The 15,686-nt window shown below is 43.4% G+C and overlaps 1 protein-coding gene across 1 annotated transcript in view, besides 1 other annotated feature; it reads right to left on the bottom strand.

Moving 5' to 3' along the window:
• The window catches only part of GARRE1 (granule associated Rac and RHOG effector 1), a 101,013-nt gene that overhangs the window by 74,747 nt on the left and 10,580 nt on the right, over positions 1–15,686 (bottom strand). The window lies entirely within an intron of this gene.
• Positions 10,004–10,704: an enhancer, noted in NCBI's record as "H3K27ac hESC enhancer chr19:34761021-34761721 (GRCh37/hg19 assembly coordinates)". NCBI's record gives its function as "activates a minimal SCP1, AML or CMV promoter by ChIP-STARR-seq in naive H9 embryonic stem cells {active_cell/tissue: H9 hESC(naive)}" and the evidence as "EXISTENCE:reporter gene assay evidence [ECO:0000049][PMID:30033119]".

The following is a 15,686-nucleotide window of genomic DNA, read 5'->3' as shown; positions in this document are numbered from 1 at the left end:
TTCCGATAAGCCCCGGACTTCTTGTAAAGCCAGAAAGCAGGGAACTCATATAACACTACTAGGCTCATGTCAAAAGCACCTAGAAAACCCGAAAAATAAGTGCCATTAACGATCAATAATGGGACAACTTAAGCATCAAAAAGAATAACCATTTAGGGGTGAAAATCATTAAATATATAAAAATTACTGAGTTCAGACTTAGCAATAATTTCTTGGATAGGACACGAAAAGCACAGGCAACAAAAAACAGATAAACTGGACTTCAAAATCAAAACTTTTAGGCATCAAAGGACATTACAAGCAAAAAGCAATCCATAGATGAAAATATTTATAAATCACATATGGGAAAAGGAATTAATATCCAGAATATATAAAGAACTCCTACAACTCAAACACAAAAATCCAATTTTTAAATGGGCAAAGGACTTGAATAGACTTTTGCCCCAAGAAATATGCGAACAGCTAATAAGCACATGAAAAGATGCTCAACATCACTAATCACTAGTGATATAGCTTAAATCTGTGTCCCCACACAAATCTCATGTTGAATAGTAATTCCCAATGTTGGAGGTGGAGCCTGGGAGGAGGTGACTGGATCATGTGGTGGATTTTCCCCTTTGTACTCAATAGTGAGTGGGTTCTCATGAGACCTGGTTGTTTAAAAGTGGGCAGCACCTCCCTTCTCTCTCTCGGTCCTGGCTCCTGCCATTTAAGATGCCTGCTCCGCTTTGCCTTCTGCCACCAATAAAAGCTCCCTAAGGCCTCCCCAGGAGCAGATGCTGCCATACTTCCTGTACAGCCAATTAAACCACTTTTTTTTTTTTTTTTTTTTTTTGAGACGGAGTCTCGCTCTGTCGCCCAGGCTGGAGTGCAGTGGCGGGATCTCGGCTCACTGCAAGCTCCGCCTCCCGGGTTCACGCCATTCTCCTGCCTCAGCCTCCCAAGTAGCTGGGACTACAGGCGCCCGCCACTACGCCCGGCTAATTTTTTGTATTTTTAGTAGAGACGGGGTTTCACCGTTTTAGCCGGGATGGTCTCAATCTCCTGACCTCGTGATCCGCCCGCCTCGGCCTCCCAAAGTGCTGGGATTACAGGCGTGAGCCACCGCGCCCGGCCAATTAAACCACTTTTGTTTATAAATTACCCAGTCTCAAGTATTTCTTTACAGTAAGGCAAGAACAGACAGTACAACTAGGGAATAATATAACTTGGAAAATGCAAATCAAAACCACAGTGAGATACCACTTCATACCCTATTAGGATGGCTAATATTAAAATAAACAAAACACAGAAAATAAGTGCTGGCCACTGCCAGCCTGGGCAACATGGAGAAACCTCGTCTCTACTAAAAATAAAAAAAAAAATAGCCAGGCGTGGTCCCAGCTACTTGGGAGGCTGAGGTGGGAGGATCACCTGAGCCCGGGAAGCACAGGTTGCAGTGAGCCGAGATCGCAATGGGCCACTGAACTCCAGCCTGGGACGGAGAGCGAGACACTGTCTCAAAAACAAAACAAAACAAAAAGTGCTGGCAAGGACATGGAGAAATTGGAAGCCTTGTGTATTGCTAGTGGGAATATAAAATAGTGCAGCCACTGTGGAAAACAGTATGGTGCTTCCTTAAAAAATTAAACATAGAATTACCATGTGATTCAGGAAATCCACTTCTGTGCATCTACCCAAAAGAACTGAAAGCAAGGACGTGAGCAGGTATTTCTTCACCCATGTTCACCGAAGCATTATTCATAATAGTCAAAAGGTGGAAACAATTCAAATGTCCATGGAAGATGAATAGATAAACAAATGTGGTATATCCATACAATGGACTATTATTTAGTATTAAAAAGGAAGAAAGGCTGGAAGCAGTGGCTCATGCCTGTAATCCTAGCACTTTGGGAGGCTGAGGTAGGAAGATCGCTTGAGGCCAGTTTGAGACTAGCCTGGGCAACATGGCGAGACCCTGTCTCTACAAAAAATTTAAAAATTAGCTTGGCATTATGGTGCACACTTGTAGTTCCAGCTACTTGGGAGGCTGAGGCATGAGGATCACTTGAACCCAGGCATCTGAGGCTGCAGTAAGCTTGACTGCACCACTGCACTCCAGCCTGGGTGACAGAGACCCTGTCAATAAAAAAAAAAAATTAATGAAGGAAATTCTAATAACATGCTCCAACATGGATGAACCTTGGAGATACTCTGCTAAGATGCCAGACACTAAAGGACAAATACTGTGTGATTCCATATATATGGGGTGCCTAAAATAGTCAAATTTTTAGGGACAAAAAGTAGAAGAGAGGTTGTGCCCAGGAGCTGAGAGAAGGGGAAAATGGGGAGTTACTGTTTAATAGGCAAGACTTTTTTTTTTTTTTTTTTTTTTTGAGATGGAGTCTTGCTCTGTCACCCAGGCTGGAGTACTAGTGGCACAATTTCGGTTTACTGTAACCTCTGCCTCCTGGGTTCAAGCAATTCTCGTGCCTCAGCCTCCCAAGTAGCTGGGACTGCAGGCTTATGCCACCACATCTGGCTAATTTTTGTATTTTTAGCAGAGACAGGGTTTCACCATGTTGGCCAGGCTGGTCTCAAACTTCTGACCTCAGGTGATCCACCCGCTTCAGCCTCCCAAAGTGCTGGGTTTACAGGCATGAGCCACCATGCCTGGCCAAGACTTTCAGTTTGGGATGTTGAAAAAGTTCTGGAGATGGATGGTGGTGATGGCTGCACAACATTGTTAATGTACTTATGCCACTGAAATGTATAATAAAAATGGTTAAAACTGTAAATTTTGTGTTATGCATATTCTACCACAATAAAAAAAGTGAGTCAATAATGATATTAAGAAAAATTCCATTGGTCATCTCTCTGTGGAGGTGTTAAGGCACCAAGCTATTGTTCTGAAAACTGCTGGGGGTGGGGGGGGGGGGTGAAATCAAGCATTTATCCTGCTTTTCCTGTTTATATAGTTTTTTTTTGAATACTCCATTTAGGAAAGTGCTTAATCAAAGAAAATTAGCCAATAAATAAAGAAGAAATGCTAGGAAAACTATTATTTTGCAACTCTAATGAAATAGTGTATCTAGCCAATGATTATTAATCACTGTTAAAATGATTTGGTGAAACTTGATGGAGAAGTTTATGATGAAGGAATCAGGCATAACACCTGAACTCACTAATTAATTTTAGCATCATTAAAGTGGGGAACTAAACATATAATTATATGCCTATCATTGTGACAAAATAGGAAGTACACAGTACCACCCAAAAAATATTTTTGCCTAAAATACTGAATCAAAATCTAATCGAGTCTCTATATCTAGCGAATTACTTACAGGAAACATGAGAGACAGAGAAACTCCAAATTTCACGTGTTTTTTCATAGGTCTTTTCAAACGTATTGTTCATAAGTAACCACTGATCTTATTGGTCTAAGTGAGTTAGGATTCTGATAGACCCTTGGGGGCAATTTTTACCAGCTTGGTCCTCCAGTTTCATTTTTATTCCTTTCTGCCAACCTTTTAATCTCTCTTCTGCATGCAGTTTATGAAGAATTTATATCCAATGGTCCCTGGCACTTTGAATAAAATCAAACTCCTTACTGAGACCTGCACAGCCCTGCCCACCTCTCCAGCCTCATGTCGTGCCTCCTGAGTCTCACTCATCATTCTGCAGTCACACCATTTATCTTCCAGTTCTTCTAGTGCCCCAAGCTCTTTACACACGCTGCTGCCTCTATCCAGAAAGCTCCTGCCTCCCTCCTACTCATGATGCTCCTCCCGTTCATCCTTTAGCTCTCAAAACAAGTGTTACACCCTCAGAGAAGCCTTCTGCAGCCAACCTGTCTAATCTAGGGTCACCTCACCCCTACAATGCTGTCTTATCTTCATGACAACTTGCAATCATCTTACCATTTTATTTGCATATGTACACTTTACCACCTGGCACATAAGCTCCTAAAGACAGCAATGGCTTGTTCACAGCTGGATTCTCACAAGTGTGCTGCCCAACTCTCTGGAAATCTGACATGAATGAGCCATTGTTCCAGTGGCACTGTCGCGCAAACTCGAGAAACTGGCTGCTATAGCAAGCTACTTCTCCACCTGAAAGGTGACTGGCTTGTGGAAACCTGGCAGTGGCTGCGGTATCTGTGACCTTAAGACAGATGATATGAGGGAGAAGGCAGAGATCATGGTCTCCACTTCCAAAGTCACAGCCAGGTAACAGGATTATCCAGAACTCTCTCACACTCAGGCTTGATGTGGATGGAGCACACTGGCTATTTCTCTGGGGAGCCTGTCCTTTAACTTTTACAAATCTGTTTATGGCATCTTCCACTGTACATATACACATATGTACATAAACACACATACCCACACACACTCTTTTTCCCTCATTTCTACAATCAAATGTGTTATGTTTGTTCCTTTAAAGTTTCAGGTTTTGCAACTTAATTTACCTTGCCAAAACTGATGATCAAATATGGATGGGCTGGGCACAGGTGCTCACCCCTGTAATCCCAGCACTTTGGGAGGCCGAGGCAGGCAGATCACCTGAGGTCAGGAGCATGAGACCAGCCTGGTCAACATGGCGAAACCCCATCTCTACCAAAAATAAAAAATTAGCTGGGCGTGGTGGCGCACACCTGTAATCCCAGCTACTCAGGAAGCTGAGGCAGGAGAACTGCTTGAACCTAGGAAACATAGGCTGCAGTGAGCCAAGATGGCACCACTGCACACCAGTCTGGAAGACAGAGCAAGACTCCATCTCTAAAGAAAAAAAAACAAACAAAACACAAATATAGATGAACCCTCCAAAGATGATATGCCAATAAGCATATGAAAAGACAGTCAACATCACTAACTATCAGGGAAATGCAAATCAAAATCACAATGAGATACCTCTTCGCAACCACTAGGATTACTATAATCAAACAGACAATAACAAGTGTTGACAAAATGTTAGAGAATTTGGAATCCTCATATACTGCTCAGGGTAATACAAAATGGTACAGACATGTTGGAAAACACAGTGGCAGTTCCTCAAATGGTTAAACATAAAATTACCACACAACCAAGAAATTTTACTCCTAGGTATATATATCCAAGAGAAATGAAAAACATGTCTACAAACCAACATGCAGATGAACGTTTGGAGCAGTATTATCATAATACCAAAAACTGGAAACAACTCAAATGTCTATCAATTGACAAATGGACAAACAAAATGTAGTATAACTGTACAATGGAATATTATTCAGCCATGAAAAGGAATAAAGTACTGATACATGGATGAACCTTGAAAACATTATGCTAAGTGAAAGAAACCAGACCCAAAGTTCCCTTAATATGAACTGTACCAATTACGTAAATCCATTGAAACAAAAAGTCAATTAATGGTTGCCTAAGGCTGGGGGTGGGGGTGTGGAATGGGGGAAATAAGGGATGACTGCTAATGGGTATATGGTTTATTTGCAGAGTGATGAAAATATTCTAAAATTGATGATGGTTGCATAACTATGAACATACTAAAAACCACCAATTTATATACTTTAAATGGATAAACTGTATGGTATGTGAATTATATTTCAATAAAGCTGTTACAAAAAATATAAAGATGAATCATTCCTAAACAATTCCCTCTTCTGAGGAAAAAAAAAAAAACACAGAAAATGTTCTGTCCTCTCCAATCCACAAAAATGCAAATCCAAATATCTACCCTTGATAATGTGGAGACACTACAGGAAATTCTTTAGGCAGATTAGTGAAGTTATTGTCTATGAAGTTCAAAGCCCAACCATTTCCATGTTTTTAGTCAGTTCAGACTGACTCAAACCGTATTTAGAAATGCACTCTAGAAAAATGCTTTGAAGAATTTTATTCTCAACATTCATAAATTTAAAATATCTATCCAGGCAAGAGAAAATGCCTGGAAAATTCAGTGCTTTGCTCGGACGTTCCTTAGAACTCTACTTTTTTAGCTCCCTCTATCTGTTACCACATTACAAAGTGAAGCAACTCTGTAAGCTGCTAACACGAAAAGACGCTTAGTGCTGGCTCTCCTCATACCTCTCTGGCCATTCTTAGTTGCCCCTTTGAGCTACTCCTCCTCTGATAGACCTTAAGTGCTATGCCCTCTCTGTTTCTAAGAGCAACATATTCCTTCTGGGAAGATTCCCAAATCCATCCCTCTAGCCCAGATCTTTGTCCTGTGCTCCAGAACCCAAATATTCAACTGCCTAGTGGACAGGTCCCAAAATCAAAAGTCCAAAACCAAATCTTCCAAGTCTTTCAATATGCCTTCCCAGTCTTGGCAAATGACATCACCATCTGCCTACTTGAACAAGGCAGAAACCTGGGAGTTATCCTCTACTCTTCACTCTCCTTCACATCCAATTAATCACAGTCTTATCCTTCCTGCCTTCTTGAGACGGAGTTTCGCTCTAGTTGCCCAGACTGGAGTGCAATGGTGCGATCTAAGCTCACTGCAACCTCCGCCTCCTGGGTTCAAGCGATTCTCCTGCCTCAGCCTCCTGAGTAGCTGGGATTACAGGCATACACCACAACACCCGGCTAATTTTGTATTTTTAGTACAGACGGGGTTTCTCCATATTGGTCAGGCTGATCTCGAACTCCCAACCTCAGGTGATCCACCCGCCGCGGCCTCCCAAAATGCTGGGATTACAGGTATGAGCCACCATGCCCGGCCCCTTCCTGCCTTCTTAGTATCTCTCAAGTCCTTTTCCTTCTATCTTCACTGCCGTACCAAAGCTACTGTTTTTACCTCCTGCCTGAATTATGGAGGCGCCTCCTGAGTGATCTTCCAAATGCCTGGGCTACTCCCCTCTGGATGCTGTGTGACTACTCTAGAATCAATGTGATCACACCACTCTGCGCTTAAAATCCACTATGGCTCTCCATTACCCTTCCCAATTTTCTTACACCGCCCCAACACCACCCACTTCCTACATGTGCCATCTTCCTTCTCGCCACCTGGCCACACATTTCATTTCTACTGTCTGGAAAGCTCTCTTGGCTCACTCTCATTCCTCTTGGATGTCTAACTTAGGCATCACTTCTTCTGAGAAACCACTTTGACAGACTGAGCGAGGGGTTCCTCTGCTGCCGTAACACCCTGTTTTTAGCCCCACCTTAACATTAACTCTACTGAAGCATAACATGCTAGATCACAACTGCCGGTTTGCTCTGTGTTTCCCTGTCACCTCCAACCCCCAGGACCCCTGAGCTCATTCAAAACATCCAAGGGTGCTAAGCATGATGTAAACATTTAACAAATATTTGTTGAATTATTAGTTTGTCCTCAGTACTTATTTAATGGTATTCCTTTACAACATTCATGAAGTCACCCTTGCCAACCACGGAGGCAGTAGTTAGATGCTAGAAATAAGGTTCTGCTTAAAATAAATAAATAAGCTAGTGAAGACATGCCACGTCCACATAAGTACTCCCCAAAGAAATGGACCAGTCACTAAGTGTCTATGACGTGCCAAGCATTATACTTGGAGCTTTAGATATCAAATATCTTGAAACAGCTGACATTAACTGTGGGTAAGAGCCAGGCACTGTGCTATGCACTTCACATGTTATCATATTTATTTATTTATTTTCAAGACAGGATCTTGCTCTGTTAAGCCCAGGCTGGAGTACAGTGGCACAATCTCGGCTCACTGCAATCTCCATCTCCTGGGTTCAAGTGATTGACCAGCCTCAGCCTCCCAAGTAGCTGGGAGTACAGGTGTGCGTCACACACCTGGCTAATTTTTGTGTTTTTAGTCGAGACAGTTTTCACCATGTTAGCCAGACTGGTCTCGAACTCCTGACCTCAAGTGATCCAACCTCCTTGGCCTCCCAAAGTGCTGGGATTACAGGCGTAAGCCATCACACCTGGCCGTGTTATCAAATTACAAGGTTATCACAATGACCCCATAAGGTAGGTGAGGCATCTAATAAGATGAAGTGAGTTCTTCATGTTCTCACCACATGGCTAAGGTAGTGGTCACCACACAGCTAGGTCTGGGACATGGCAATCTGCTGCCACAGGTTGAGCTCTCCATTCTTGCACCATCCCACCTCTGTCAAATATCCAGACCATGGCACTCTGCTTACCACTCCTAGAAGATGGTTAAGGCTTCCAGCTTCTTGGAACTGATGAGAAGCTGAGCTGGAGCAATGAAAAGTGACCTCTCTCTAGGAGATCATACTCCGTATCACTGCTGATGATTCCCAAATTCAACTCTCCAGTCAAGACCTCCCTCTCCAAGGACCAGACCCAGGAGACATCTCTGCAGGGTCTTCAAGTTTTACCCTTTCATGGCCAGGGCACGGTAGCTCACGCCTGTAATCCCAGCACTTTGGGAGGCCAAGGTGGGTGGATTACCTGAGGTCAGGAGTTTGAGACCAGCCTGACCAACATGGCAAAACCCTGTCTCTACTAAAAATACAAAAATTAGCCGGGCATGGTGGTGGGCGCCTGTGATCCCAGCTATCTGGGAATCACTTGAACCCAGGAGGCAGATGTTGCAGTGAGCCAAGATTGCATCACTGCACTCCAGCCTGGGCAACAGAGCAAGACTATGTTTCAAAAAAAGTTTTACCCTGTCACCTTTCTATTTCCCACTCCTCCTGCTATATTTACTGCCTTGCTTGGTCAAAGGCACAACCAACTTTTAACCCAAACTTAAGGTGTTATTCCAGATGGTCCCCGTCCTGTTGTCTAGCCTGTCCTTTCAATCCTGTCAATCCTGTTCACCACAGTGCCTCTTCTACAGCAACTGCTCCATAAATGTTACCTATTATTATTATATCCTAAATGTTTCTCATTTCCTCCTTACCCTTGCACTACTCAGCTTCCAAGGAAATTGACTTCCAGAGCAAGCAATATCAAGGCACAGAAGCTGACAGAATGCCTTCTATGAGGACAAGAAGCCAGCCTGCCAAAGGCTCAGGCCCTAGTTTTTTTGTTTTTGTTTTTGTTTTTGTTTTTGAGACTTGCTCCATGCCCCAGGCTAGAGCACAGTGGCACGATCATAGCTCACTGCAGCTTTGACCTCCCTCAAGTGAACCTCCCACCTCAGCCTCCTAAGTAGCTCAGCTAATTTTTATTTTTTGATTTTTTGTAGAGATGGGGTCTCTCTACATTGCCCAGGCTGGTCTCAAACTCCTGGGCTCAAGCAATCCTTCTGCCTCGGCTCCCAAAATGCTGGTACTACAGACATGAGCCACCGCGCCCAGCTCCTAGTTCTTTCAATGAAAGTGCACAGAAGGGGCCGGGCGTGGTGGCTCACACCTGTAATCCCAGCACTCTGGAAGGCCGAGGCGGGTGGATGACGAGGTCAGGAGATCGAGACCAGCCTGGCCAACATGGTGAAACCCTGTCTCTACTAAAAATACAAAAAGTTAGTTGGGTGTGGTGGCACACACCTGTAGTCCCAGCTACTAGGGAGGCTGAGACAGGAGAATCGCTTGAACCCGGGAGACAGAGGTTGCAGTGAGCCAAGATCACGCCACAGCACTCTAGCCTGGGCAACAGAGTGAGACTTCATCTAAAAAAAAAAAAAAAAAAAAAAGAAAGTGCACAGAAGGTATACCTGAACACTAGCTGAAGCTGATAGAGCACAGCATACTCTAAGTAGCAAACTAAGAATTATGAGAATGTCAGATATGAAAATAGAAACTAACAAATGGCTTTAATCCCAGGGAACCAAACATTCTACTTTATTCCATTTTATAAGTTAGTAATTAGTAATTCAATTCTTTAACACAGTGGTTCTCAACAAGTGGGGAAAAGTATAATTTTGTGTCCTTCTCTGCCCTACCAACATCTGGCAATGTCTAGAGATGTTTTGGTTGTCACCCTGGGCAAGTGCTAGTGGGTAGCATCCAGTGGGTAGAGGCCAGAAGTGCTGCTGAACATCCCATAATGCACAAGACAGCCCCTACAAAGAATTATCTACCCCAAAATGTCAACAGTGCAGCTCTTAAGAATCTCCGATAAACTAATGCTTTGAGCACCTTCCATATTCAAGTTAACTAATGTATAACAAGTTACTTCTTTCTGGGGAGATGATACAAACTTTCTCCATAAATTAAGCTATAACGGGTCCATAAGCTAAGAAGAGGCATCATCAAAAAAGAGACTGATAAATGCTAAATAAGTCGTTTAGAAAACAAATGCCATGGGTTCAGAGGAAGGAGGGTGCCATAGAGGCTGAGGCCCCCCTCAAAGATCTGAGAGAGCAGACTAGGCTCCTCAGCTCACTTCAAGCTGCCAGTCAAGGCCCTCTAGAGAGTAACCAGAATCCACCTCCCTATCCTTACCTGCAACAGGGCCTGTCCCTTCAACTTAACCTTCCCTCAAGCTGCAGAGGCCACAGGGCCACGACATTCCACCCACATTGTTACTGCTGAAAAAAGCCCTCACTTCCTTCACAAAAGTGCTGTCCTCCAACTAAACAGCAACCCCTGTCTCCACCCACAAGGCTGAGGACATGATGTCACCTCAACCCAATCACAAAATCATGTTCCTATGACTCCTAGAGGAAGAAGGTAGTGAAAAGATTAAGGTGGAAAATGCCTTAAATGGCTCAGGCCCTGAGGCCTTGTCCTCTGCCACCTAAAATCACTGCTTAGCAGCAGCCAGCCAGGAGCCGCCTCATTTCCTGTGCAACTGCGGTAAAAATAGGAAGTGGGGGAGGAAGTTCACAAAGCAGAAACAAAAGTAATCACTGCCTAGCTTCCTGAACACAAATCACCGAGCAGGGAGGGTATCATTAAAACATCAGAAGAGAAAGGCGGGCATGGAGAGCAAGGCCAGAGGAAAAGAAGTGACACTTTGGGGTGGGGTCCACCAAGCCCAGACTATTTCTGTGCCTGAGACACTGCTCCAAAAGGAAAACTGGACAAAACTGGACACTAGCCTATTCTACAGAAATGGCTTCCATGGAATTAATACTAAAGCATGTTCACTTGAAGACATGCAAAAACTGAACTGTTCTAGCAGAGTAAAAAATATCAATGAAAAGGTTTTAAGGAGGCCAAGATTAAACTATTTTTCTAGTCAAGAGGTAGCTACTAAAACAAAACAAAGGTCAGGTCTGGTGGCTCACACTGTAATCCTAACACTTCAGACGGCCAAGGCAGGAGGATCACTTGGGCCCAGGTGTTCATGGTTGCAGTGAGCTATGATCATGCCACTGCACTCCAGCCTGGGTAACACAGCAAGGGCCTCTCTCAAAATAAATAAATAAATACATAAATAGAAATAAATTTTAAAAACAAAACAAAAGAGCTACTATATAATTGATTGGTTGACAAAATCCGAAGCCCATGTTATCCTATACTGAGCTATGAAAACTCAGGCGGATAGGAAAAAAACTACTGAATAAACATTCTAATCAGTGCCAGAATCTATCACAAGTAAAAATAAAGAGGCTTCTACAACCATCCCCACCCCCAACACGGGTCAACCCTGTGAGGCTCCAGGCACCCAGGATGCAGTGGGAAAGGAGACAGATGCAGCACCGGCTCGCTACCAATCTCATGTGGGAACAACCTGCTTCCACGTGGTGATCCATGACCGCCTCTGGTACTGACATTTGCTCTGTAACAATTTACCACCACAAACCATGGCGTTCCTCTATGAAGCCAAAGCAACTTATCATTAGCGGTTCTGAAGAGCTTTTATATTTGGTAATCTACAAACAACTGATCATTTCATTTAAGCAGAAGAACAACTTTTCTAACCGCAAGGTCAACAGAGCCAAAATTTACTTTCAAAATAACAGAGGTTTTAAAAAAATAGGTCAAATGTGCTAAGTAGTAATATAGATAAAGAACAGGCTTAATTTTGTTTCATTTGAGGGGTGGCTTGTTGTTTTTGCTTTTATTTTTGGTGGGGAAGGAACAGGAAGATCAATGCGTAACTTTTTTTAAACAGTCACTACGTTAATAAGTAAAAAAGTAAATGAAACGGGTAGTAATCACCACATATTCAATTTCTTTTTTCTTTCTTCTTTTAAGAGACGGAGTCTCACTGTGTTGCCCAGGCCAGTCTCAAACTCCTGGACTCAAGCAACCCTCCCACCTCGACCTCCCAAAGTGCTGGGATTACAGGTGTGAGTCACTATACCTGGCCTCAATTTCATACAAAGAAAAATAGTGAACATTTAATGAAAAAAAAAAATCCAGTATTACTTGGTCCTGATGAGGACAGACCTAGCTGTCTGTCTGATTTTCTGGTAACAAATGGACTTAACTGTACTCTAAGACTGTTGTTTTAGTCTTCTTATGAAGTCAAAAGCTCACTCTCAAAACCTGCTGCCATCAAAACAAAACAAAACTAGTATTAGAACTCTTGAAGGAATTCTATTACAGGAACACTGTGAGCCAAAAAAAAAATCTTTGTTAAACAGAGATCTTCAAAGGAAGAAGAAACAACGAAAAAAGGGGCAAATCCCCGCCAAGGAAAGTTTTGTCTACAAACACATACAAACCACCACCTATCACCAAAGGATGAACAAAGCTGGCTCCTAAACTTCCGAAAAAGTTTGTTCAGGTAAAAGGAAGGTTTCATCTATCAACTAAAATAGTCTTGGACCATTAAAAATTTCTGCATCAAATGTGCCCAAGTACTATGAAAACATTTGTGACAACAAATTGTGTTGCTAGTGGAAATTCAAGTGTAAATCAGGGGGTGAAAATAATTTATTTCTAAGTAGATTTAAAAAAAAAAAAACACAAAGCACCACGTGCAGTGGTTCACGCCTCTAATCCCAGCACTTTGGGAGGCCAAGGCGGGTGGATCACGAGGTCAAGAGTTCGAGACCAGCCTGGCCAACATGGTGAAACCCCGTCTCTACTAAAAATACAAAAATTAGCCAGGTATGGTGGCAGGTGCCTGTAATCCCAGCTACTCAGGAGGCTGAGGCAGGAGAATTGCTTGAACCTGGGAGGCAGGGGTTGCAGTGAGCCAAGATTACCCCACTGCACTCCAGCCTGGGCAACAGAGCGAGACTCCATCAAAAAAAAAAAAACAAAAAAACCACAAAGCAATTATATAATTTATTCAAACCTAATTTGTTAAAAAAAAAAATCAACAGTCTACACCAGTTAGAAACCTGCGGTTTATTTTTGTTACAGTGTGGTACAATGTGCAAAAGCCCAGGTATCCAAAAAAAAGTTTTCAAAACTTCTAAAAAAAAGGTTGGATTACTGAAAACTAATTGTGTCCATTAGAAAGTTATTTAAGAAGACTTAAAATTCTATTTTTTGTTTTTGTTTTTACTTATTTTTTTAAAGACAGGGTCTTGGCTGGGCACGGTGGCTCATACCTGTAATCCCAGCACTTTGGGAGGCCAAGGTAGGAGGACTGCTTGAGCTCAGGAGCTCAAGACCAGCCTGGGCAACATAGCAAGACTTCGACTCTACTAAAAAGTAAACAAAAAAAAATTAGCCCAGTGTGCTGGCATATATCTGTAGTCCCAGCTACTTGGGAGGCTGAGGTAGGAGGATGGTTTCAGCCAGGGAGATTGAGGCTGCAGTGAGACCTTACAGTCTCTTGCTCTGTTGCCAAGGCTAGAGTACTGCAGTTGTGTGATCGCGGCTCACTGCAGCCTTGATCTCCCGGGCTCAGGCAACTTCCCACCTCAGCCTCCCAAGTAGCTGGAACTACAGGCACACACCACCATGCCTGGGTAATTTTTAAATTTTTCTGCAGAAGATGGGGTTTCGCTGTGATGTTCAGGTTGGTCTCGAACTCCTGGCCTCAAGCGATCCTCCCGCCTCGGCCCTTCAAAGTGCTGGGATTACAAGCATAAACTACCATGTCTGGCCCAAGAAAACTTAAAAATTCTATACTGCCACTCTTAACAACTTTGCACTATGGAACCTATCCAAAATTAACCTCAAATGGAGGAAAAAAAAACAAGTATTTATCCAGAAGCTTATATATAAATAGGTAAATCGAACTATAATTTAGAAATTTTTTTCTCACTATGGAGAAGGATTATATAAATTTTAGATAAACTTAAGATTCAAAATCATTTCTGAGAATTTAAGGCATCCATAAAAAATTCTATCAATAAATTATAACATCTCTTCCAAGCTGAGAACACTGACTCCAATTTTGCATACCCAGCAAACCTTCCCATCCCTCAAAAAGACCAGAAAGTTGCCTGATGCAATGGCTCACACCTGTAATTCCAGCACTTTGGGAGGCCGAGGTGAAGAGATCAAGACCATCCTGGCCAACATGGTGAAACCCCATCTCTACTAAAAATACAAACATTAGCTGGGCATGGTGGCATGCGCCTACAGTCCCAGCTACTCAGGAGGCTGAGGCAGGGGAATCGCTTGAACCCCGGAGATAGAGGTTGCAGTGAGCCGAGATTGCGCCACTGCACTTCAGCCTGGGTGACAAAGCGAGACTCCTGTCTCAAAAAAAACAACAGAAAATCAGAGTCACAGCCAGGAAGCTCATTCTTCCCAATATTTCATCAGGTCAAACATTAAGAAATGAGAAAATTCTAGGTGATTCCTCACCATCCACTCGCTAGGCAGGGAAGACAGCCCCAGAGAGCAGGCCCGCAGTGGTTCACCTCCAGGCTGGCTTCTGGCTCTGCCACTTATCTGCGCCATGAGCCTTCACATACTCAAACATTCACTAAGGTTCTCCTAAGTGCATAGCACTGCTCCAGGAACCCAGGATGCAGTGGTGAAGAGACAGACATAATGCTTGCTCTCAAGGAGCTTACCGTTAATAAGGGAAAAGGAGAAAATGCTCAGGCCCTTGCCTTTCAGGTAGATGCTCCAATACAAAGAAACTTCATGGAAACGACGCACTTCCAAAATGCAGTAGTTACTGGTACGGGTATGGGAATCAGACTGATCTAGATGTGAATTCCTGCTCTTAGTAAATATCAGCTGAATAAATGGCACTTACTAACTTTGAGCAAGTCGCCTAACTCTTGTGCCTCAGTACTGCTGAGGATTAAATCCATAAAGCACAGCCTCTGCCATACCCTCAGTCTCCGTAAATGAAAGCTACTGCTCTGAAAGAGGGCGTGGATTAGTAAGAAGATAGCATTTCATCTTCCACTGCAATTCTTAATTCTTGTCTTCTACTAGTCGAAAACAAACTCCCTCGAACCCCCAAAATCTGTAAGTTAAAACAACTTTCAGAAATAAAACTTACCTTCCTGCAGCTCTGGGCCCAACTCCCAAGTCCAGGCAACAAACTAAAAGAAGTAATGCCCTATGCGCTGGAGGGGAAAGAGGTCATGGCTCCTCCCATTTCCGTGCCCACCACTCCCTCCTCTTTCAACCCCAAGCCAAAGGCAGGAACAGAAGGGACACAGTTGAGGAGGGGCATCACCTGGAATTACAAAGTACATTACAAAGTGACTCAAGCACAAGGATGTAGCGCATTCTCTCCCACCTTGACACCCAGGAGCAGCACAGGTCCTTGTGGCTGGTGAGAGGAACCACTTCCGCCTCTTCCTGCCTAGGTCACCAGAGCCTGCGGCACCCAAGTCTGGGAGCCAAGCCAGCTTTCCCCAAACTCTGTTCCCATGAACATATATCCACCTCGGGGACCGGGGGTGGGGTGAGGGAAGATGCGAGTTATTTCCAGGTTTCCTGGCCATAATTAGCATCTCACTAGTACTTAATCCCAAAATCATT

Source organism: Homo sapiens, chromosome 19 (genome assembly GCF_000001405.40).
Source record: "Homo sapiens chromosome 19, GRCh38.p14 Primary Assembly".
Taxonomy (NCBI): Eukaryota; Metazoa; Chordata; class Mammalia; order Primates; family Hominidae; genus Homo; species Homo sapiens.
The sequence above is the reverse complement of the archived record's forward strand: the minus strand, read 5'-3'. Positions and strand labels throughout refer to the sequence as shown.